Consider the following 21,698-nt stretch of genomic DNA (forward strand, 5'->3'; position numbering starts at 1 on the left):
CCTTTCTGCACCCTCATCTTTGTGGCTAACTCTCCTGTTCTATGATCCAGATTGGTGTTTGGGCATGTTCCTCTAGCAGTGGCTTCTTAACCAGTTCTGGCAGGCTGGCTTGATTGAATGCATTATAGCTATCTTCCCAATCAAAGTTGCAGTGAGTTTTTTTCTGAATGTGAAGCCAGGTCAGCCACAAGTAAAAAAGTTACAGACCTTGGAATGCTAGACATCATGGATATTAGTTAGCTTTTCAAGTTTAAAATATCTTAACTTGGAGTGAGTACCAGTGCTGTTGTCATCTGAGCCTTCCTCACTACAGTTGTTAGCATCTTTAGTCAGATGATAGATGAACAAGAGTTGGACTGATGCAAAATGGTGGTGAGAATTGATGGTAGCCAGCTACAAGCAACCTAGTCAGAGGTCAACTGGTATAGTGAGTATTGGTCAAAACCAGAAATCCCCAGGCAGAAAATGTCCGTGTTAAAAGTGTGCCTCCCAAGTACAGTAAGCCCAGATCTCTATAGGGCTGAGTCCATTCCCTAGGAAGGACATTCACAGCAGCTGCACGTGGCTGCAGTGGGCAGGCCTGTCCCCATCCCACCATCAGACAGTGGTGATGGAGGGCTTTCTCTTCCATGATGAAACTCCCTGGAGAGAGGCTGGTCATGTCTAGAGGCTCACTTACTTCTTATCTAGATTGAGTTGCCATGATCCCTTTCCAGAAGACAGTGTCCAGTTGGGCCTGGGAGAACTTCCTTTGGATACCAACAGCAGTCAAGCCAACCTGAAGACCTTTCTCATTCACAGAAAATGGAGGCCAGCTACTATGACAACATTATGGAGCAGCAACGCCTGGAGCCTGAGTTCTTTCGGGTCGGCTTCTATGGCAGGAAGTTTCCTTTCTTTCTTCGGGTGAGTCCATTCAGATGGTCACAAGAACTTATATATTTTACGCATAATTCACTTAAAACCGATATTCTTTTCTTCCCCTTTTTGCCTTTTCTACTGAATACTTCTTTACAGAGGATAAACCAGTTAACAACAGGCATTTGGTTTTATTTGACTGGACTGGCTGCCAACTTCAGACTCTGTTTTAGTCTGCTCTGTTATTCTGTAGCTACCAGGAATGTGTGAGGGTGGCTTTCTTACTAAATCAATGGAGTTTCTTCAGGAAGTGACCAGGGTCTAAGAGTGTGCCATAGGTGCCTTCCAACTTCTGCCTCCAGTGCCTGGAACCTCCATTGTGACTCTTCTCAGCCATATAGGGCACCAGTAAAGCACTGACTTTAACAGTAGACTGGCCTCTTAGGGTTTGTCATCTAAGATGATGGTTTTTCCTCCTGGCTGCACTGTAGCCTGTGCAGCCAGGATGGAGAACTGTTGGTATGAGAGAACCTGAAGAACACAGCATGTGGCTCCTAGGATCCTGAGGGAGCTGCCAAGCACTGGGTTTGGCTGTAGAAAGCCTCTTCTAGGCAGCCAGTTCTCTGACCCAGGATGACAACAGCCTTTTCTCCCTACCGTTCCCTGGCAGGCTGAACTGGAATATAAAAAGAGTGGAAAGGATGACTGAGCATAGATCTACTGACACCAGTTGTGATTTTCTTATTTATTCAGCACAACTCAGAGGCTCTAGGAGTAGTCAACATACACTATAGGCTGAATCCCATAGAGATGTGTTCTCAGATGATCTAAATGAAGCTGCCCTGATGTGTGGGCCCTGGAGCAGTTGAGACCTAATTGCTAATCGCTGATCACCCCCAGTTCCAATATCTTTAACTAAAGTTCACTGTCCACAAGCCTCAGCAAGTAGCTGGGAAAATTCCCTTTGATATGTTTGGGATCCTGTCTTCTTGGAGAAATTGGGTTAGCCAATGAGCAATAACAAGCTTGTTATCACATCAAAGGTCAACCGGGCTTAATAGCTCCTTTAAAAAAAGCTAGTCTGCTAGCGGCAGAGTCCAGGCTAACCACATTGCAGAAGTAAGGCAGGTCAACTTGCACTTTTCTTGGGCAGTAATCATTCTAGGCTAGAAGGAAAAACGATCTGTGTGAGCACTGGCAATATGACAGGGACAGCAAGCTCACTGCCTAATTGTGATCCCCAGGAAGGCTCTAACTCTATTCCACAGGAGTGTTTCTAGTAGCAGAATGGGAATGAGTAGAGAGACTTTTTTTTTTTTTTTTTTTTTTGAGACAGAGTTTCACTCTTGTTGCCCAGGCTGGAGTACAATGGCACGATCTTGGCTCACCGCAACCTCCACCTCCCAGGTTCAAGCGATTCTTCTACCTCAGCCTCCCGAGTGGCTGGGATTACAGGCATGCGCCACCATGCCTGGCTAATTTTGTATTTTTTAGTTGAGACGAGGTTTCTCCATGTTGGTCAGGCTGGTCTCGAACTCCTGACCTTATGTGATCCGCCCGCCTCGGCCTCCCAAAGTGCTGGGATTACAGGCGTGAGCCAATGCGCCCAGCCAGGAATGAGTGGAGAGACTTTCTTAAGAGGACTGGGCCTCCTTCATCTCTAGTGACCATCCAGCCCAGGCATTTTAGAAGTGGCATATTTGCTAGCCCCATCAGCATAGATCATATAAGAATAATGGAAGTGGTGGAAGTCAGCAAAAGAAGTAGAAGCAATTGTACAAGAACTAGAAACCAAAAGCATTTCCAGAAAGTCCTTTGACAAACTAATGATTCTGGTCTTGTAACTTGCCTTTTTCTCATTTTATCTTTTCAAATTATGCTTTCTTGTCATTTTCTTCTTCCTGTATAGATCCACAATTTGTACATCAAAAATGAAATTTCACTATAAAACATCATTATTTTGGATATTACAGAATCAGGCCCTGGTATCCCCTGTTTCTGTTCTGCCAAGCAGGAATGCTCCATCGTAGTCCAACCTGTTTCCCACCCTTTCATGCTCATGTCACAGGACACATTAGTGTCTCAGGGTTGTTGGAGCTTTCTGACAGGTAGGACCTGGCATAAAACCTGCATCTAAGCCATCCACATCATGCTCACAAGTAACAGTCCAAATGTTCAAATGTGGTTTCAAAGACCCTGGGAATGGAGGAAAAATAACAAGAGGTGTTAGGAAATATCACCCATCAATCGATTCCCATCTCCACACAAGATGCAATCTCAACGAGAGGCATAATGCATGTATAATTCATGCATACAAATTTCCTCAGCCAACCCACATGCTACCTTCCCTTATTTCAGCTGCTCAGTTCATCTGTGGCAGAATAATAAGTCCCAGTGGAGGTAGCTCTTTGCCTTGCCCATGGTGGGAATCAGGTACAAAGCAGTGGGGGCCAGATCTGTCTTTTGTGGGGATGCTGGAGCTCTTGCCCAAGTGAATATGAAACCAACAGTCAGCCTCAAGGTCAACACTGTGTGCGTTCTTCCTGCTGGGCCTTCCCCAGAAGGCTAGGCTACTCTCCTACCATCCCTGAATGCACAGGCCATCTATTACTTTAGCTCTATCAGCTTGGTTTCTCTGGGCCATCTGCCTGCCTCGCCTCACAAATGTGATTATCTATTAATCTGCAAAGAGTCAGGAAAACATCCAACCCTCCCTTCTTGAGGGAATTTATATTTCTCATTTGACCCATGAACAGACGTTGATGAGGGTTGTACATATGAATGATATGAAAAGGCTAGTTCTTCACAAGTACTTTCTTTGTCAGTTTTATTTATCAAGCAAAAGATGTAGAAATATCTCTGTCCTTTGACTACTGGTCTGTTCCACTGGAGAGGCCAGCCTGCTCCTCCTGACCTTAACTTTCTTCCTAGCGTTAATCAGAATCAGAATCCCTTCCATTCTGATTCATCCAGACACATGGCCCAGTCTGGGTGCAGTGGCTCATGCCTGTAATCCGAGCACTTGGGAAGGCTGAGGCGGGTGGATCACCTGAGGTCAGGAGCTCGAGACCAGCCTGGCCAACATGGTGAAACCCCATCTTTGCTAAAAATACAAAAATTAGCCAGGCATGGTGCCAGATACCTGTAATCCCAGTTACTTGAGAGGCTGAAGTGGGAGAATCACTTGAACCCGGGAGGCATAGATTGCAGTGAGCCCAGATTGCACCACTGCACTCCAGCCTGGGCAAGAGAGTGAGACTCTTATCTCAAAAAAACAAAAAAACAATACAGACACATGGCCCAGCCTTAGCCAAGTTCTCCCATAGTGAGAGAGGAAGTAAAAATGAGACAGAAATCCTATTTCAAGAAGATCAGGGTCTTACAAGGCCTGCCCTGTGATTAACCCTGTCCCAGGAAGCATATGGCTGGCCCTGTGACGCCTCTCTCTCTCTTTCTTCCTTTGAAGACATGCCAAGAGGGGCTGGCAGTGCCTGATACCATTTTGTTGAAATGGGTCTGGCTAGGCAGTTGGATGGGCAGACTGCATCACCAGTGGGTTTCAGGGGAACTTCCTCCAGCCACCCACTCATGACCAGCTATGACATAGGCAGAGCAAGCAGAGTTGGGGGTGCCTTGTCCACAAAGAGAAAAACTGAGACATAACCAAAAGTAAATGTGACATAACATAAAGTTTTAAGAAGTCTGTACTTAGCATGATGTTTATTTGTTCTGCTGACATGTTTGCAAAGAAATTTGCTGCCAAAGGGTTACTAATGCAATAAACAGTTACTGAATACCTACTGGGCACTGGGCAACATTAGACTGTTTCTCCCAACTAATAAAAGTGATCCTTCAGAATCACACACTTGATCACCACCCCCCCCCCATTTAAAATTATTTGGTGGCACCCATAGCAATCACTCCTTGGTAACATTGGAGTCAGGGTCAGGGTATTCCAAGGCCTGCCCAGTGATTAACCCTGTCCCGGGAAGCATATGGCTGGCCCTGTGATGCCTCTCTCTTTCTTCCTTTGAAGACATGTCAAGAGGGGCTGGCAGTGCCCCCTCTGCCCAACTGCTTCTACCAGTTCTCTACACAGACACCTTCTTTCCAGCTCCACCTTTTCCTGTCTTGATTGTTGTTGCCCTGGTTGTCACGGTACCCACATAGATTGCCCTTCTCCACTCACACCATACCATACCAGCCTGACCTAGGTGGACCTTTCAGGACGTTTTTTTAACATAGCTTTTTCTAAAATCCCATCTCCCACCTTGCTCTCTTTCCTGCGTAAGGTTTTTCTTCTTCTTCCAAGCTTCTTGCAGCCTGTACCCTTCCCTTGGGGCTGCCACACCACAGTGTAATTCTCGCTTTGTTTTTCTTCTGCCTCCTTGAGTGCAATGCCCTGTGCCTGTCCCAGGGCCTGATACAGAGAAGGCTCCTAAGATATGTTTGTGCTATATGTAGCTACTGACTCCAGGGTGGAGGTGGGGGGCTACAAGCAAAGCATACATAGAGTGTGCTCTTCTGTTTGTGGCAGAACAAAGAATACGTGTGCCGTGGCCATGACTACGAGAGGCTGGAGGCCTTCCAGCAGAGGATGCTCAGTGAGTTTCCGCAGGCTGTCGCCATGCAGCACCCCAACCATCCTGATGACGCCATCCTACAGTGCGATGCCCAGTGTATCCTTTGATACTGGGTGGGAGGAGGAGGGCAGGGGCCCTGGGAGGTGAGATCCACCCAGTCAGCTGCCCCTTTACCACATTGCCAACCATACAGGTTTAGATATCCCATAGTCCTAAACCTGAGTGTGTCCTCATTGCTTAGCACACACTTAGCAAGGCACTAATACCTCAAAGAGGAAGCAGTGGCACGCCCTTAGCAGTGGGTGGTCTAGTTATCAGTGGGGCTTCAGGAAGGCCTTTATCCCTCAGGCTGGCTGCTTCCAACAGCTTAATCCTCACCCTGCCCTATGAGGAGTCTGCCCAGGCAGCCAGGAGCAATCACTGTACAGGGTGACTTGGGGTCCTATCAGGGCTCTTGTCACAGGGATACCACCTGTGCTGTGCCCTGCTCCACTCCCATGTGTACTATTGTTGTCCCTTCTCTTCATCAGGCGGACTGGGGCAGGGCCCAAGGATGTGTGGAGCAGGAGAAGATGAGGAGTTCCTTTGGTTTGGTGGCACTTGGAAGTCTGAATGGAAACACTGCCCTTCCCCTCACCTTTCACACACAGCTTCCTTGGGGACCACATGACAGTTGCCATGACTATGGCAAGCTTGTTTCAGAGAAGGGAGGGCAAGTGGACTCTTATCTGCTTTTTTTCCACAAAAATTTCAAACAGTATTTTATTTAAAAGTTGTTCTTCAGTAAATATGCTTTACCTATAGAGGGGAAGCCCAGACCCTTGCAGCCTTCTTTCACTCCCATGGGGTGGATGCCTGCATTCCCCTCTTTCCCTTTGTTTCTTAAAGGGGCACCAGAGAACACTTGGCTGTTGACATCTCACCTTGGCTGAGTGCTCATGAAACTCAACTACTAGAGCAGGGAGAGGGAGAGAGCAGATAGAGATTTACCTAACTGAGCTTGGGTCTGATCTGCCCCTAGAGATGCCACTGCCTCCCCTACTGGGCTGTCAGTAAGGAGCAGGGACTATGGTGCACTTCTCCCCTTTGAGGAGATGACAGGGGTCAGCCTCTCAGGCCCAGCTCTGGCAAGTCTGTGTTTCTCCTTCACTTCCTGCCCAGACTTGCAGATCTATGCAGTGACGCCCATTCCAGATTATGTGGATGTTCTGCAGATGGATAGGGTACCAGATCGAGTCAAGAGCTTCTATCGCGTCAACAATGTGAGGAAGTTCCGGTATGACAGGCCTTTTCACAAAGGCCCCAAGGACAAGGAGAATGAATTCAAGGTGAACAAATCTAGGAAAACGGGCAGTACACACAGCAAGTCCAGGGGCAAGCTCAACTTCCTTGGGAACTCACCACTGTTTTATCCCTCAGGTAGGCAGGGTGTGGCAAAACTTGCCTAACTGCCCATACCTGCCTGTTCCCTCCCTACAGAGCCTGTGGATTGAACGTACCACACTGACCCTGACCCACAGCTTGCCTGGCATCTCTCGGTGGTTTGAAGTGGAGAGGAGGGAACTGGTGAGACATGTCTCAGATGAAGCTGAGCTTCACAACTGCTCCATCAGCCCCAGCTCTGGGGGCCCTTCTCTAAGGACTAAAGAAAAAGAGAGCGTCGGCCACCTGCCTGGCCAAGGCTCCCACAGGTCAACCCTGTGCTAGGATCTTTGTGTACCTTCTCTTATCTAATCCATACAACACCCCTGAGCAGCAGGTATTTTCAACCTCCTACTTTACATATGAGAAAACTATTCTCTGAGATTCAAGAAACCAGAGTGCTCTGATTTCAGAACTAGTGTTCTTCACTATTTGCTGTACTTCCAAGTGCCTATAAATCAGACAACAGAAGTGGAAAGGGTCCAGGGAGTCTCAAGTTCACAGGAACAAGGAAGGGGAATCAATACCACAGATCTTAGACCCCAGCTCTCAGGAAGATGATGAGGGGTTATCATCATTTCTGGGATGACTCTGTGTGCTGTGTGCCCCTAGGTGGAGGTGAGCCCTCTGGAGAATGCCATCCAAGTGGTTGAGAATAAGAACCAGGAGCTACGCTCCCTGATCAGCCAGTATCAACACAAGCAGGTGCATGGCAACATTAACCTGCTAAGCATGTGCCTGAATGGTGTCATTGATGCAGCTGTCAATGGAGGCATTGCACGCTATCAGGAGGTAAGCTGTGGCCACAGGCCAAACCCATGCAGCCAGCCTGGCCAGGAAGGCGGCTCACAGGCTTCTCTTTTCAAGATTATAGTCTCCTTAGGTAGCCTTCCCTACATGCCCTCTCTTGACATGGTCCTGGAATGAGGCCCTAAGCTCCCTATCACTCCCTATTTCTTTGGCACAGTTTGGTAGGGCCTTTTCTTCATTTTTATTCTCTGAACTCTAAGATGGGTAATCTGTAATCCTGATTATGGGAGGATGTTAAGTGCCCTCCAAGAGGAGCCTTGGAGCCCAGCCCGTCAGGAGAAGTGAGTTGTAGGCTGGATAAGAGGCTAGCCCCTACTCCCAGTCCACCAGTCCTGCCTGCCCTACCTAGGCCATCCAGGCTCCATGAGGGACTGGGGTCAGCATCCAGACTTAGATGGCTTGGCCACGTTCAGTCCTTCTCAGACAAAAAAACACACCTCTAATTGCCAGAAGTTCAAACAGGCCAGACTGGTGTATGTACCTATGAGGAGACAGCCTGGCTGCTTTTTAGGTGGCATTAGTGGACTCAAGTCTCCTGGGCCCCACTTAAGTAGTAGTCCTGGGAAGAGTCTTCCTGACTTGGCCTTTCCTTTCACAGGCCTTCTTTGATAAAGATTACATCAACAAGCACCCAGGAGATGCTGAGAAGATCACCCAGCTCAAGGAGCTTATGCAGGAGCAGGTATGTCTTGGAGGGCTTGGGAACCAGCAGCCAGGTGAGAAAAGCCATGCACTACAAGATGAGCAGTTCTCAGGGGCTACTCATGGTTCACAGAGTGGCCTTGTTTGTGACTCTGATAGGTTCATGTCCTTGGAGTTGGGCTAGCAGTTCATGAGAAGTTTGTGCACCCAGAAATGCGGCCTCTGCATAAGAAGCTAATTGATCAGTTCCAGATGATGCGGGCCAGTCTCTACCATGTAAGTTGATCCCTGTCCTGCCCCTGCTGCAGTAGAACCAGGTGTCACTTCCTCCAGACCTACGCCACAAACCAAAGGAAAATAGGAGAGAGGGAGCCTGGGCAGGGGCCGGGGTTGGGGAGAGAGGCTGTCCTCCCTACAGAGGGACAGGGGGCAAGGATGGATGCTATATCCAGGGGAAGGATGCTGAGGATCCTCCCACTCACTCACTCCCAAAGGAGGAGCCAGATTCAAGGGCAGGGAACGTTTTTCAGGGCACTGTGCTAGTAGACAGGTTTTCATATGTGAAGGAAGAGAGCTAACATATATGGCCCACATGTAGGGATCTTTTTGGAGATGTTTTTCATCCCAAGAACCTAAAGAGATAGGCATGGCCTGAGCCAGCCTTCTCTCCCCATCTCCCTCCTCCTCCTCTCTCCCTGTCCTTCTTCATTCTTTCTCCTCCCTCTAATCGTTCTCTTTTCCCTCTTTTTACTCTTCCTCCCAACTCCCTTTTCTCCCTCTGTCTCTCCCTCCCTCTTATTCCCAGCTTCCTCTATCATGTCTCGTGATCCAAGCTCACATCTGAGATAGCCTAGGATGAGCAGTACTTTCATGCTAGCAGTCCTTAAAGGAGTCAAGCAGGTCCTGGGGCTGGACCAGGCTCCTGAAAGTCTCCCTAACTCTGGCCCAGCTCTTCAGCCTCCACAGTAGGGTTTGGCCCAAGGACTTAAACACACAAACAGGACTTATATTCCAGGACCAGTATTCCTTGGCAGGGTCTTAGAGGAAATGCTGACTGGCTGAGGATAGAGCCCCCTATTCACATATCCAAACCTCATTTTCAACTGTGGGGCTGACTCCAAATGTTTTCTAAAGATCCCTTCCTGCTAAACAGGCTGGCTCCCAGATCTTAAGGGATATGAGCCCAATTACCTGCTGCTACCTGGCACCCAAGCCAAGTTCTCTTCTCATCACCCAGGACCACTGGACAGAAGTGGCAGGGAGACAAGAAGTAGAGCTGTTCAATGCTGCACGAGGTTGTCATGAGCAAAAAATTCCCCCTCTAGGGATAACCATGGCCACAGGAGCCCTGAGGGAGGTTGCACTACTTAAACTCAGTGGGCCTGACCCATTTGGGGCGGACCTGCTGTGTTCTTGGATGCTGCAGGTTCTGGTCATCTCCGTCCCTCCAGGCTCCCAGTGCAGGTCTCAGCCTGTGTGGACAAGTGTGGACAGCATGAAAAGAGAAAAAGAAGCTTGTTGTAGTTTGAGAGGTAGGGGCACATTTTCCAGAGGAAAGCCTGGAGATCCTGAAATTTCTCCCTCTGTTAGGATTCTCCCATGGTATTTCAAGGTGAAATATGCAGAGAAGCTCTTTTACATCTCCGCCTTAAAATTGGAGTGTCCATTTAGTTAAGAACTTGGGCAGTATCGCTGAGTCTGGTGGGTATTCATTCCACTACCTCTCATTCCAGGGTCTCCTGCCTGTTTGACTGGTCTCTGCTGTGTGCAAACTTCCCCATCACAGCAGGTGACCCAAGCAGGCTGGAGCCTGGCCAGTGAGGAGGTTCTCTGCCATGTGGGTTGCAGCAAAAAGCACAAAACACTTTCCTATATACATCACGTTCTTCCGTGTGCACACATAGCCTTTCTCCAGCTACAGAAATACATTTTAGCCCTCTGTATGCTTTGGAAGAAGCAGGTGGAAAACCCGGTGCTTCTTCACACCAAGCTCAGAAATATCCCCAGTGGACTTAGGGCCCCTGTTCACTACAGCTTTTGAAGGACGTGAGGAAACCTTAACAGTTGTTTCCTCTGAGTTGTACACAGGGACACAAACAAACATGCTGTCACCCAGTAGGGTTTGAGATCAGAAGTGTCTGCCCAGAAATCTACATACTTAATATGAATTAATTAAGCTAAAATAGAGCTGTGCTATTTTTCAGTTACATACATCAGGATTTTATGTTCTGTCTCCCCGTAGACTGTGTCACAGACAACCCAGGTCACTAAGAGCTGGGCCATTTAGCAGTCTAATAAAACCCAACACCAATCCTTATGTAATTGGTGCCCACCTATTGACAACTAATAATAAGCTCTTCCTCTCCTTCTTCCCAGATCTTGTTCTACTTATTCCGTAGCGAGAAAACCTGTTAACACACTCCTATGAGCTCAGACCAGCTTCAGTTTATTCCAGATGTGCTTCTCTTAATGTGGAGTCAACCTGGGGCCTCGCACACGGCCTTTGGTCTAGGTTCCAGTGCAGTTAGGAGGGTGTTTTAGTCGTGAAGAGGGCATTGCCCAAAGGAAGTCAGCAGTTCAGGTTCAGCCAACCATATGATTCTTTTTTGTTTCTTTTACATTTTTGATCACCAGTCAGTTATTCCCTCACATCCCTTAGTTACTTATTTATTCTTTACTCTCTATGAAGGGGCATTCATTTCTCAACAGGAGTTTCCAGGTTTGGATAAGCTAAGTCCTGCATGTTCAGGCACCAGCACCCCACGGGGAAATGTTCTGGCATCCCATAGCCCCATGAGTCCGGAGAGCATCAAGATGACCCACCGGCACAGGTATGGCCTTAGGGCTGGGGAGGGTTCCCTCTGGAGAGGTGAGTCTAAATTGTCAAGGGTCAGAGGAAAGAGTCCTCATGTATACTCATATTCCCTCTTACCCATGCACACAGCAAACACTTATGTGGCTCCTGCCATAGGACCCACACCCTGCATTCAGTCAGTCACTATCCTGGGTAAGAGAAGTGTATACATGATACTGTGGGAACATGGAGGAGGGGGCATTTGGGGTAAGTCTTGAAGGATAAGTAGATGTTTGCTAGGGGTTAGGAGGGTGATAGGGCAAGATCTAGGAAAATCGACTGACACATGCAGAAGCCTCAAGATATGAACAAGCCAGCCTGGTCAGCACTCTGAGTAGAGCCAAGTGGCTGGAGTGCCGGATTCCAGGGCACGGAAAGGGGATAGGATCAGCTCTGAGTGGGCCTTGTTCATGCAGGCCTTTGGACTTGATCCCAAGGAGAATGAGGATCACCAAGTCAGTTTTAAGGAAGAAACAGCATAGTGATGTGAACATCAAAGACTGGTTTGCCTGGGCTCAACTGAGAATACTGAAAGCCTCTAGGCCAGGAAGGCCAAGTTGGAGGAGGAGACTAGTGAGAGGAGCCCCTCACTTAGGCTTGTTTTCCAGTGTGAGCAGCAGCTCAGCACAGAGTGGGCACTTAGTAAATAAGGGACAAATGAATGAGAAGCTTTCCTGGTATTGCTAGAGGAGAGCTATTGACAAGCCTTTTGGCCACAGATGTGGAAGGAGGCCTGCAGATAGTTCACAGCCGGCTATTTTGGTAGCTTCCCACACTAGGAAGAAGCCTCTGACCAAGAAGCAGATCCCATCATGGTGTGGGGGGGTTGGGGGGTGGGCACTGACCCAGACTAATACCCCATAGAAAGGGGAACCTGAGGTCTTTGACCTGATTTGGCATATCTCTTATTCCTCCTGAGAAACTGCTAATGTCATGCAACTGAGTGGCCATAAGCCATGTAGCTGTAGGTAGAGGCTTGTCCAGTGTACCACACCATTGTCTCTCCCAGACCAAGGGCTCCTGAGTAGCAGGGTACAGCTCAGGACTGCTCCAGGCCTCAGATGGGTATGAGCATTGACTATGGAACCCTCCAAACCGGTGGTAGCTGAAACCAGGGATGACTATTCCACACATTCCGCTCTACTGTCCCCCTGCCACCTGCCATGGGCCTGACTCCTCCCTATTTCCCACTCTTGCTCACAGCCCCATGAACTTGATGGGCACAGGCCGCCATTCATCATCCTCTCTCTCCTCACATGCGTCTAGTGAAGCAGGAAACATGGTGATGCTGGGTGACGGCTCCATGGGTGATGCTCCTGAGGACCTGTACCACCACATGCAGGTACAGAGCTGTCCACGGAGAGTGGGCCAGGGCACCATGCCTACAGAACTCACCTTGCTGTTGCAATGTCTAGTCTGAGGGCTTGGCAACCCTGCCTAATTCTCTAGCTCCTGAATTCAGAACACCCCTCACCAGAGCTAGAAAGCTGCCGTTCCTCCACACACCATCCTAAGTCTCGGTTCCCAGGCCTTATTTCCCAAGAAGAAAATCCAGCTTCAGTCCTGGTTGCTTTAGGAGATCCCACGGGAAAGATCCTCTGCCAGATTGCCCCCTTGCCTGGCATTCCTGTTGGCTTAGCCCTGCTTCCTCCATGGTCACCGTAGTATGGCCAGCCCAACAACTTCGCTCCATATGGGTGGTGTGGGTGGCCCCTAGTTGCCCAGCCATTAGCCTGGCCTCCATCAGGGCTCAGGGGATAGCATAAGGCACTGGGGCAGAACACCTCAGGGCATGAAAAAGCAAACTCTGTGCCAGCCCTAAAGTCCTGGCCATTCAGACCTCTATCCTGCTGATTTTTCTCCCTTTGCAGCTCGCGTATCCCAACCCCAGGTACCAAGGCTCAGTCACCAACGTCTCTGTTCTGTCCTCGTCCCAGGCAAGCCCTTCTTCCTCCAGCCTGAGTTCCACTCACTCAGCACCATCCCAGATGATTACCTCTGCCCCTTCCAGTGCCCGAGGTAAGGATGGCAGGGTGCTACTTGCAGAATGGAGAAGAGAGGTCTTCATCAACGCCACTCGGCTTCCTCTCATCTGTGGCTGTGTCTTTGAGCAGCCCTGTGACTTAGAGAATACTCATTTGTGCTTTTACCACTAAGGACTCGAGAGTTCCTGCCTCCAGGCCTCTTCCCTGGCTGGCTTCAGACTCCGCTCTGAGCAGTGGCTGCCGCTGTGCCGCCATTGCATTTCTACCTCAGTCACAGGACACACAGCTTAGAAGAAAGCTCACTTCTTTCCCATTGAAAGTTTTGCTAGAACAAAGATCAAAGTCTAGGCAAAAGTGAGTCTTTTGTCTTGAGGAATCAGGCATGATGACAAAGTATGAAAAGTAAATCGGGAGACTAAAATTAACCCTGGAAAATGTTATTCTAAAACAATAACAGCAACCAAAAAATTTTTCTTCAGTTGGGAAAGGCTTTCTCAGGAGAGATGGCTCTGTAAAAACCTATTTACTTTGCCAATTATTAGTTGATTTCTTGTTCAGTTGAATGAATATTGTTCTTTGAGAGGCAGCATCTTCGCATCTTTTTCACGTTCTAATCCTAGTTCCCAAGTGAAAGTTGATTCTGTCCTTGTAGACAGAAACATTTGCAGTGGAATGGAAATTAGCTGTGGTACATAGGATCTAGTGCTTCCCAGGGTTGGCTTTGCAGGGTAGTGACAGTGGTCTGAGCTTGCCAGCCAGTCACTTGCTCTTGCTTCCAGGCTTCAGAAGGAGGGAGTCTCTTTGTTCTTCTCATTATTATGAAACCAAAGAAAAATATCACAAATTTATTTATTTATTTTATTATACTTTAAGTTCTATGGTACATGTGCACAACGTGCAGGTTTGTTACTATGTATACATGTGCCATGTTGGTGTGCTGCACCCGTTAACTCGTCATTTACATTAGGTATATCTCCTAATGCTATCCCTCCCCACTTCCCCCACCTGACAACAGGCCCCAGTGTGTGATGTTCCCCACCCTGTGTCCAAGTGTTCTCATTGTTCAGTTCTCACCTATGAGTGAGAACATGCAGTGTTTGGTTTTCTGTCCTTGCAATAGTTTGCTCAGAATGATGGATTCCAGCTTCATCCATATCCCTACAAAGGACATGAACTCATCCTTTTTTATGGCAGCATAGTATTCCATGGTGTATATGTGCCACATTTTCTTAATCCAGTCTGTCATTGATGGACACTTGGGTTGGTTCCAAGTCTTTGCTATTGTGAATAGTGCCGCAGTAAACATACATGTGCATGTGTCTTTATAGTAGCATGATTTATAATCCTTTGGGTATATGTCCAGTAATGGGATGGCTGGGTCAAATGGTATTTCTAGTTCTAGATCCTTGAGGAATCTCCACACTGTCTTCCACAATGGTTGAACTAGTTTACAGTCCCACCAACAGTGTAAAAGTGTTCCTATTTCTCTACATCCTCTCCAGCACCTGTTGTTTCCTGACTTTTTAATGATTGCCATTCTAACTGGTGTGAAATGGTATCTCATTGTGGTTTTGATTTGCATTTCTCTGATGGCCAGTGATGATGAGCATTTTTTCATGTGTCTGTTGGCTGCATAAATGTCTTCTTTTGAGAAGTGTCTGTTCATATCCTTTGCCCACTTTTTGATGGGGTTGTTTGATTTTTTTATTGTAAATTTGTTTAAGTTCTTTGTAGATTCTGGATACTAGCCTTTTGTCAGATGGGTAGATTGTAAAAATATTCTCCCATTCTGTAGGTTGCCTTTTCACTCTCATGGTAGTTTCTTTTGCTGTGCAGAAGCTCTTTAGTTTAGATCCCATTTGTCAATTTTGGCTTTTGTTGCCATTGCTTTTGGTGTTTTAGTCATGAAGTCCTTGCCCATGCCTATGTCCTGAATGGTATTGCCTAGGTTTTCTTCTGGGGTTTTTATGGTTTTAGGCTAACATTTAAGTCTTTAATCCATCTTAAATTAATTTTTGTATGAGGTGTAAGGAAGGGATCCAGTTTCAGCTTTCTACATATGGCTAGCCAGTTTTCCCAGCACCATTTATTAAATAGAGAATCTTTCCCCATTGCTTGTTTTTGTCAGGTTTGTCAAAGATCAGATGGTTGTAGATGTGTGGTATTATTTTTGAGGGTTCTATTCTGTTCCATTGGTCTATATATCTGTTTTGGTACCAGTACCATGCTGTTTTGGTTACTGTAGCCTTGTAGTATAGTTTGAAGCCAGATAGTATGATGCCTCCAGCTTTGTTCTTTTTGCTTAGGATTGTCTTGGCAATGCAGGCTCTTTTTTGGTTCCATATGAACTTTAAAGTAGTTTTTTCCAATTCTGTGAAGAAAGTTATTGGTAGCTTGATGGGGATGGCATTGAATCTATAAATTACCTTGGCAGTATGGCCATTTTCACGATACTGATTCTTCCTATCCATGAGCATGGAATGTTGGAACTTCCATTTGTTTGTGTCCTCTTTTATTTTGTTGAGCAGTGGTTTGTGGTTCTTCTTGAAGAGGTCCTTCACATCCCTTATTAGTTGGATTCCTAGGTATTTTATTCTCTTTGAAGCAATCGTGAATGGGAGTTCACTCCTGATTTGGCTCTATGTTTGTCTGTTATTGGTGTATAGGAATGCTTGTGATTTTTGCACATTGATTTTGTATCCTGAGACTTTGCTGAAGTTGCTTATTAGCTTAAGGAGCTTTTGGGCTGAGACAGTGGGGTTTTCTAAATATACAATCATGTCATCTGCAAACAGGGACAATTTGACTTCCTCTTTTCCTAATTGAATACCCTTTATTTCTTTCTCCTGCCTGATTGCCCTGGCCAGAACTTCCAACACTATGTTGAATAGGAGTGGTGAGAGAGGGCATCCCTGTCCTGTGCCAGTGTTCAAAGGGAATGCTTCCAGTTTTTGTCCATTCAGTATGATATTGGCTGTGGGTTTGTCATAAGTAGCTCTTATTATTTTGAGATATGTCCCATCAATACCTAGTTTATTGAGAGTTTTTAGCATGAAGGGCTGTTGAATTTTGTCAAAGGCCTTTTCTGCATCTATTGAGATAGTCATGTGGTTTTTGTCTTTGGTTCTGTTTATATGATGGATTACGTTTATTGATCTGCATATGTTGAACCAGCCTTGCATCCCAGGGATGAAGCTCCCTTGATTGTGGTGGATAAGCTTTTTGATGTGCTGCTGGATTCAGTTTGCCAGTATTTTATTGAGGATTTTTGCATTGATGTTCATCAGGGATATTGGTCTAAAATTCTCTTTTTTTGTTGTGTCTCTGCCAGCCTTTGTTATCAGGATGATGTTGGCCTCATAAAATGAATTAGGGAGGATTCCCTCTTTTTCTTTTGATTGGAATTGTTTCAGAAGGAATGGTACCAGCTCCTCTTTGTACCTCTGGTCGAATTCGGCTGTGAATCCATCTGGTCTTGGACTTTTTTTGGTTGGGAGGCTATTAATTATTGCCTCAATTTCAGAACCAGTTATTGGTCTATTGAGGGATTCAACTTCTTCCTGGTTTAGTCTTGGGAGGGTGTATGTGTCCAGGAATTTATCCATTTCTTCTAGATTTTCTAGTTTGTTTGCATAGAGGTGTTTATAGTATTCTCTGATGGTAGTTTGTATTTCTGTGGGATCGGTGGTGATATCCCCTTTATCATTTTTTATTGCATCTATTTGATTCTTCTCTCTTTTCTTCTTTATTAGTCTTGCTAGTGGTCTATCAATTTTGTTTATCTTTTCAAAAAAAACCAGCTCCTGGATTCATTTATTTTTGAAGGGTTTTTTGTATCTCTATCTCCTTCAGTTCTGCTCTGATCTTAGTTATTTCTTGCCTTCTGCTAGCTTTTGAATGTGTTTGCTCTTGCTTCTCTAGTTCTTTTAATTGTGATGTTAGGGTGTCAATTTTAGATCTTTCCTGCTTTCTCTTGTGGGTATTTAGTGCTATAAATTTCCTTCTACACACTGCTTTAAATGTGTCCCAGAGATTCTGGTATGTTGTGTCTTTGTTCTCATTGGTTTCAAAGAATATCTTTATTTCTGCCTTCATTTCGTTATGTACCCAGTAGTCATTCAGGAGCAGGTTGTTCAGTTTCCATGTAGTTGAGTGGTTTTGAGTGAGTTTCTTAATCCTGAGTTCTAGTTTGATTGCACTGTGGTCTGAGGCACCGTTTGTTATAATTTCTTTTCTTTTACATTTCCTGAGGAGTGCTTTACTTCCAATTATGTGGTCAATTTTGGAATAGGTGTGGTGTAGTGCTGAGAAGAATGTATATTCTGTTGATTTGGGGTGGAGAGTTCTGTAGATGTCTATTAGGTCCGTTTGGTGCAGAGCTGAGTTCAATTCCTGGATATTCTTGTTAACTTTCTGTCTCATTGATCTGTCTAGTATTAACAGTGGGCTGTTAAAGTCTCCCATTGTTATTGTGTGGGGGTCTAAGTCTATTTGTAGGTCTCTAAGGACTTGCTTTATGAATCTGGGTGCTCCTGTATTGGATGCATATATATTTAGGATAGTTAGCTCTTCTTGTTGAATTGATCCCTTTACCGTTATGTAATGGCCTTCTTTATCTCTTTTGATCTTTGTTGGTTTAAAGTCTGTTTTATCAGAGACGAGGATTGCAATCCCTGCTTTTTTTTTGTTTTCCATTTGCTTGGTAGATCTTCCTCCATCCCTTTCTTTTGAGCCTATGTGTGTTTCTGCATTTGAGATGGGTCTCCTGAATACAGCACACTGATGGGTCTTGACTCTTTATCCAATTTGCCAGTCTGTGTCTTTTAACTGGAGCAGTTAGCCCATTTACATTTAAGGTTAATATTGTTATGTGTGAATTTGATCCTGTCATTATGATGTTAGCTGGTTATTTTGCTCGTTAGTTGATGCAGTTTCTTTGTAGCGTTGATGGTGTTTACAATTTGGCATGTTTTTGCAGTGGCTGGTACCGGTTGTTCCTTTCCATGTTTAGTGCTTCCTTCAGGAGCTCTTGTAAGGTAGGCCTGGTGGTGACAAAATCTCTCAGCATTTGTTTGTCTGTAAAGGATTTTATTTCTCCTTCACTTATGAAGCTTAGTTTGGCTGGATATGAAATTCTGGGTTAAAAATTCTTTTCTTTAAGAATGTTGAATATTGGCCCCCACTCTCTTCTGGCTTGTAGAGTTTCTGCTGAGAGATCTGCTGTTAGTCTGATGGGCTTCCCTTTGTGGGTAACCTGACCTTTCTCTCTGGTGGCCCTCAACATTTTTTCCTTCGTTTCAACTTTGGTGAATCTGACAATTATGTGTCTTGGAGTTGCTCTTCTTGAGGAATATCTTTGTGGTGTTCTCTGTATTTCCTGAATTTGAATGTTGGCCTGCCTCGGTAGGTTGGGGAAGTTCTCCTGGATAATATCCTGAAGAGTGTTTTCCAATTTGGTTCCATTCTCCCCATCATGAATAGGAACACAACGAGTCTGCAGCTCCCAGTGTGACTGACACAGAAGACAGGTGATTTCTGCATTTCCAACTGAGGTACTGGGTTCATTTCACAGGGGCTTGTCAGACACTGGGTGCAGCCCACGGAGCAGGGCGGGGCATTGCCTCACCCAGGAAATGCAAGGGGTCGGGGAGTTACCTTTCCTAGCAAAGGGAAGCCGTGACAGATGGTACCTGGAAAATCGGGACACTCCCACCCTAATACTGCGCTTTTCCAGTGGCCTTAGCAAAGGGCTCACCAGGAGATTATATCCTGCGCCTGACTCAGGGGATCCCACACCCATGGAGCCTCTCTCACTGCTAGCACAGCAGTCTGAGATTGAACTGCAAGGAGGCAGTGAGGCTGTGGGAGGGGCATCCGCCATTGCTGAGGCTTGAGTAGGTAAACAAAGCGGCTGGGAAGCTCGAACTGGGTGGAGCCCACTGCAGCTCAAGGAGGGCTGCCTGCCTCTGTAGCCTCCACCTCTGGGGGCAGGGCATAGCTGAACAAAAGGCAGCAGAAACTTCTGCAGACTTAAACGTCCCTGTCTGACAGCTTTGAAGAGAGTAGTGGTTCTCCCAGCATGGAGTTTAAGATCTGAGAACGGACAGACTGCCTCCTCAAGTGGGTCCCTGAACCCTCAGGAGCCTAACTGGGAGGCACCTCCCAGTAGGGGGCGACTGACACCTCATATGGCAGGGTGCCCCTCTGAGACAAAGCTTCCAGAGTGAAGGATCAGAAAGCAACATTTGCTGTTCTGCAGCGTCCACTGTTGATACCCAGGCAAACAGGGTCTGGAGTGGACCTCCATCAAACTCCAACAGACCTGCAGCTGAGGGTCCTGACTGTTAGAAGGAAAACTAACAAACAGAAAGGACATGCACACAAAAACCCCATCTGTACGTCACCATTATCAAAGACCAAAGGTAGATAAAACCACAAAGATGGGGAGAAACCAAAGCAGAAAAGCTGAAAATTCTAAAAATCAGAGCACTTCTCCTCCAAAGGAACGCAGCTCCTCGCCAGCAATGGAACAAAGCTGGATGGAGAATGACTTTGACAAGTTGAGAGAAGAAGGCTTCAGATGATCGGTAATGACAAACTTATCCGAGCTAAAGGAGGATGTTTGAACCCATTGCAAAGAAGCTAAAAACCTTGAAAAAAGAGTAGATGAATGGCTAACTAGAATAAACAGTGTAGAGAAGTCCTTAAATGACCTGATGGAGCTGAAAACCATGGCATGAGAGTGACGTGATGCATGCACAAGCTTCAGTAGCCGATTCGATCAACTGGAAGAAAGGGTATCAGTGATTGAAGATCAAATGAATGAAAATGAAGCGAAAAGAGAAGTTTAGAGAAAAAAGAGTAAAAAGAAATGAACAAAGCCCCCAAGAAATATGGGACTATGTGAAAATCTACGTCTGATTGGTGTAATAGCACAAATGTATGACTTGGGAAGTCATTAAGAAAAGAAGCTCTCTAAAGCACACAAACCCATGAAGCCCACAGTAGGAGTGATGGAGAGAAGCCCACAGTAGGAGTGATGGAGAGAAGCCCACAGTAGGAGTGACTGCTGTATGGCACAGTGAAAAGATGCAGTGACCACCTGGGAAAAGCCTTGGCAGATTGTAGAGGGAAGTGGAGTAAGGTTGCAGCAGGCACAGTCAGACTTCACCTGAAGTATTCAGACCAAGCCCTCATTTCCAGGGCAAGGGAATTAAGGCCACCTAGCCAGTTCACAGCCAAGCTAAGTTTGGGGCACAGATCTTTACACTCACCAGCCCTCACTCTCATGCCCATTCCACTGCCCATATTGCCTCCCTAGCATGGACTCTGAGGTCAGAAAAGGGGAGCCAGCATTTGAAAGCAGACATTTCTAGTACTAAATAGGACAAATGAACCAAAAGATCGGTGCATGCTGAAGATTTGTCAGTATGTGAAAGCTGCAGACATAGAGAAGGAGCAGTGATATGTGTTATCAAGAAGGCACACTGAAAGACGGCCTTGGGAATAAAAAGAAAAGAAACCCTGAGCCATGAGTGCCACAGTCAAGGTTGGCATTTATAGTGTCTTCAGGTAAATAGTCCTGAATAGAGCTGCAGAAACAGTTTCTGTAATCCCTTCTGGTTTTGTTTTTTTCCCTAACCTAAAGCGTCTCTAAGATATGTTCTGACATATCTAAGACTTTATCTGGTATTCTTGCTGAGGACAGATCTCTGAATCATGATGATTGATAAACACAGAAGGCAACCAAGGATGGACATTTGAACTCAAATGCACTCTGACATTGGTCAGACACTTCCTCTAGGCTGTTCCAGATACTTAGTGTCCTGAAAAGAAGAAAGAGGAGGAATAAGCAGGCCCTGCTCTTGGGGACCTCACAGGCTGGCGGTTACCACCTTTTCCTTCCAGCCGTTGACTGATTTATTCACTTATCAAGCTTTTACTGAATGCTCAGTGAGGAACCTGCATGGCTCTTGCCACGGGGGCAGGTGGTGCACTATGTCAGTGCTGAATAGAGAGAAATTATCTTCTTGTCTGGAAATAACTCATTTTTACTTCAAATGGCTTGGTTATCTGTTGCTGCATAATAAGCCACCCCCAAAACTTCTTAAAACAATCTATTATCATCTCTTATTCTGTGGGTTTACAGGGCTCACTGAGCAATTCTCACTTGGTGTCAGATGTCACTGGCTGGAATCATCTAAAAGCTCAGGTGGGCTAGATATTCGAGATGGCTCACATACATGGCTGGCAATTGATGCTGGTGGTCAGCTTGGGGTGCGACTGGGGCTGTCAACTTGAGCTCCTACATATGACCTTTCCATGTGACTTAGGCTTCTCACAGCATGGCAGCTGATTTTCCCCAGAGAAAGCATTCCAAGAGACCCAGGAAGAAGCCTCAAGGCTCGTTTTTACCCAGCCTTGGATGTCCCAGGAAGTCCCCACGTTTCTAGTCTCCTCAAGTCACTAATGTCAACCCAGATACCAGAAAGAGGAATGAGATTACACCTCATGTTGTAAGGAATGGTGTGTGTGTTTTGGGAC

General features: G+C 46.3%; 1 protein-coding gene across 28 annotated transcripts in view; it reads left to right on the plus strand.

Moving 5' to 3' along the window:
• The window catches only part of DOCK3 (dedicator of cytokinesis 3), a 709,272-nt gene that overhangs the window by 674,560 nt on the left and 13,014 nt on the right, over positions 1-21,698 (plus strand). For 26 of the 28 annotated variants that reach the window (XM_005264914.4, NM_004947.5, XM_006713010.4 and 23 more), the window contains 10 exons: positions 802-906; positions 5,396-5,537; positions 6,603-6,769; positions 6,921-7,007; positions 7,476-7,655; positions 8,272-8,355; positions 8,475-8,591; positions 11,025-11,146; positions 12,373-12,511; positions 13,041-13,188. In XM_005264914.4, coding sequence (XP_005264971.1) covers positions 802-906; positions 5,396-5,537; positions 6,603-6,769; positions 6,921-7,007; positions 7,476-7,655; positions 8,272-8,355; positions 8,475-8,591; positions 11,025-11,146; positions 12,373-12,511; positions 13,041-13,188 — 1,291 coding nt within the window. The remainder of the gene's footprint in view (positions 1-801; positions 907-5,395; positions 5,538-6,602; positions 6,770-6,920; positions 7,008-7,475; positions 7,656-8,271; positions 8,356-8,474; positions 8,592-11,024; positions 11,147-12,372; positions 12,512-13,040; positions 13,189-21,698) is intronic. The other 2 variants (XM_006713008.4, XM_047447600.1) reach the window with 1 other exon arrangement.

The sequence above is a fragment of the Homo sapiens genome, chromosome 3 (genome assembly GCF_000001405.40).
Source record: "Homo sapiens chromosome 3, GRCh38.p14 Primary Assembly".
NCBI lineage: Eukaryota > Metazoa > Chordata > Mammalia > Primates > Hominidae > Homo > Homo sapiens.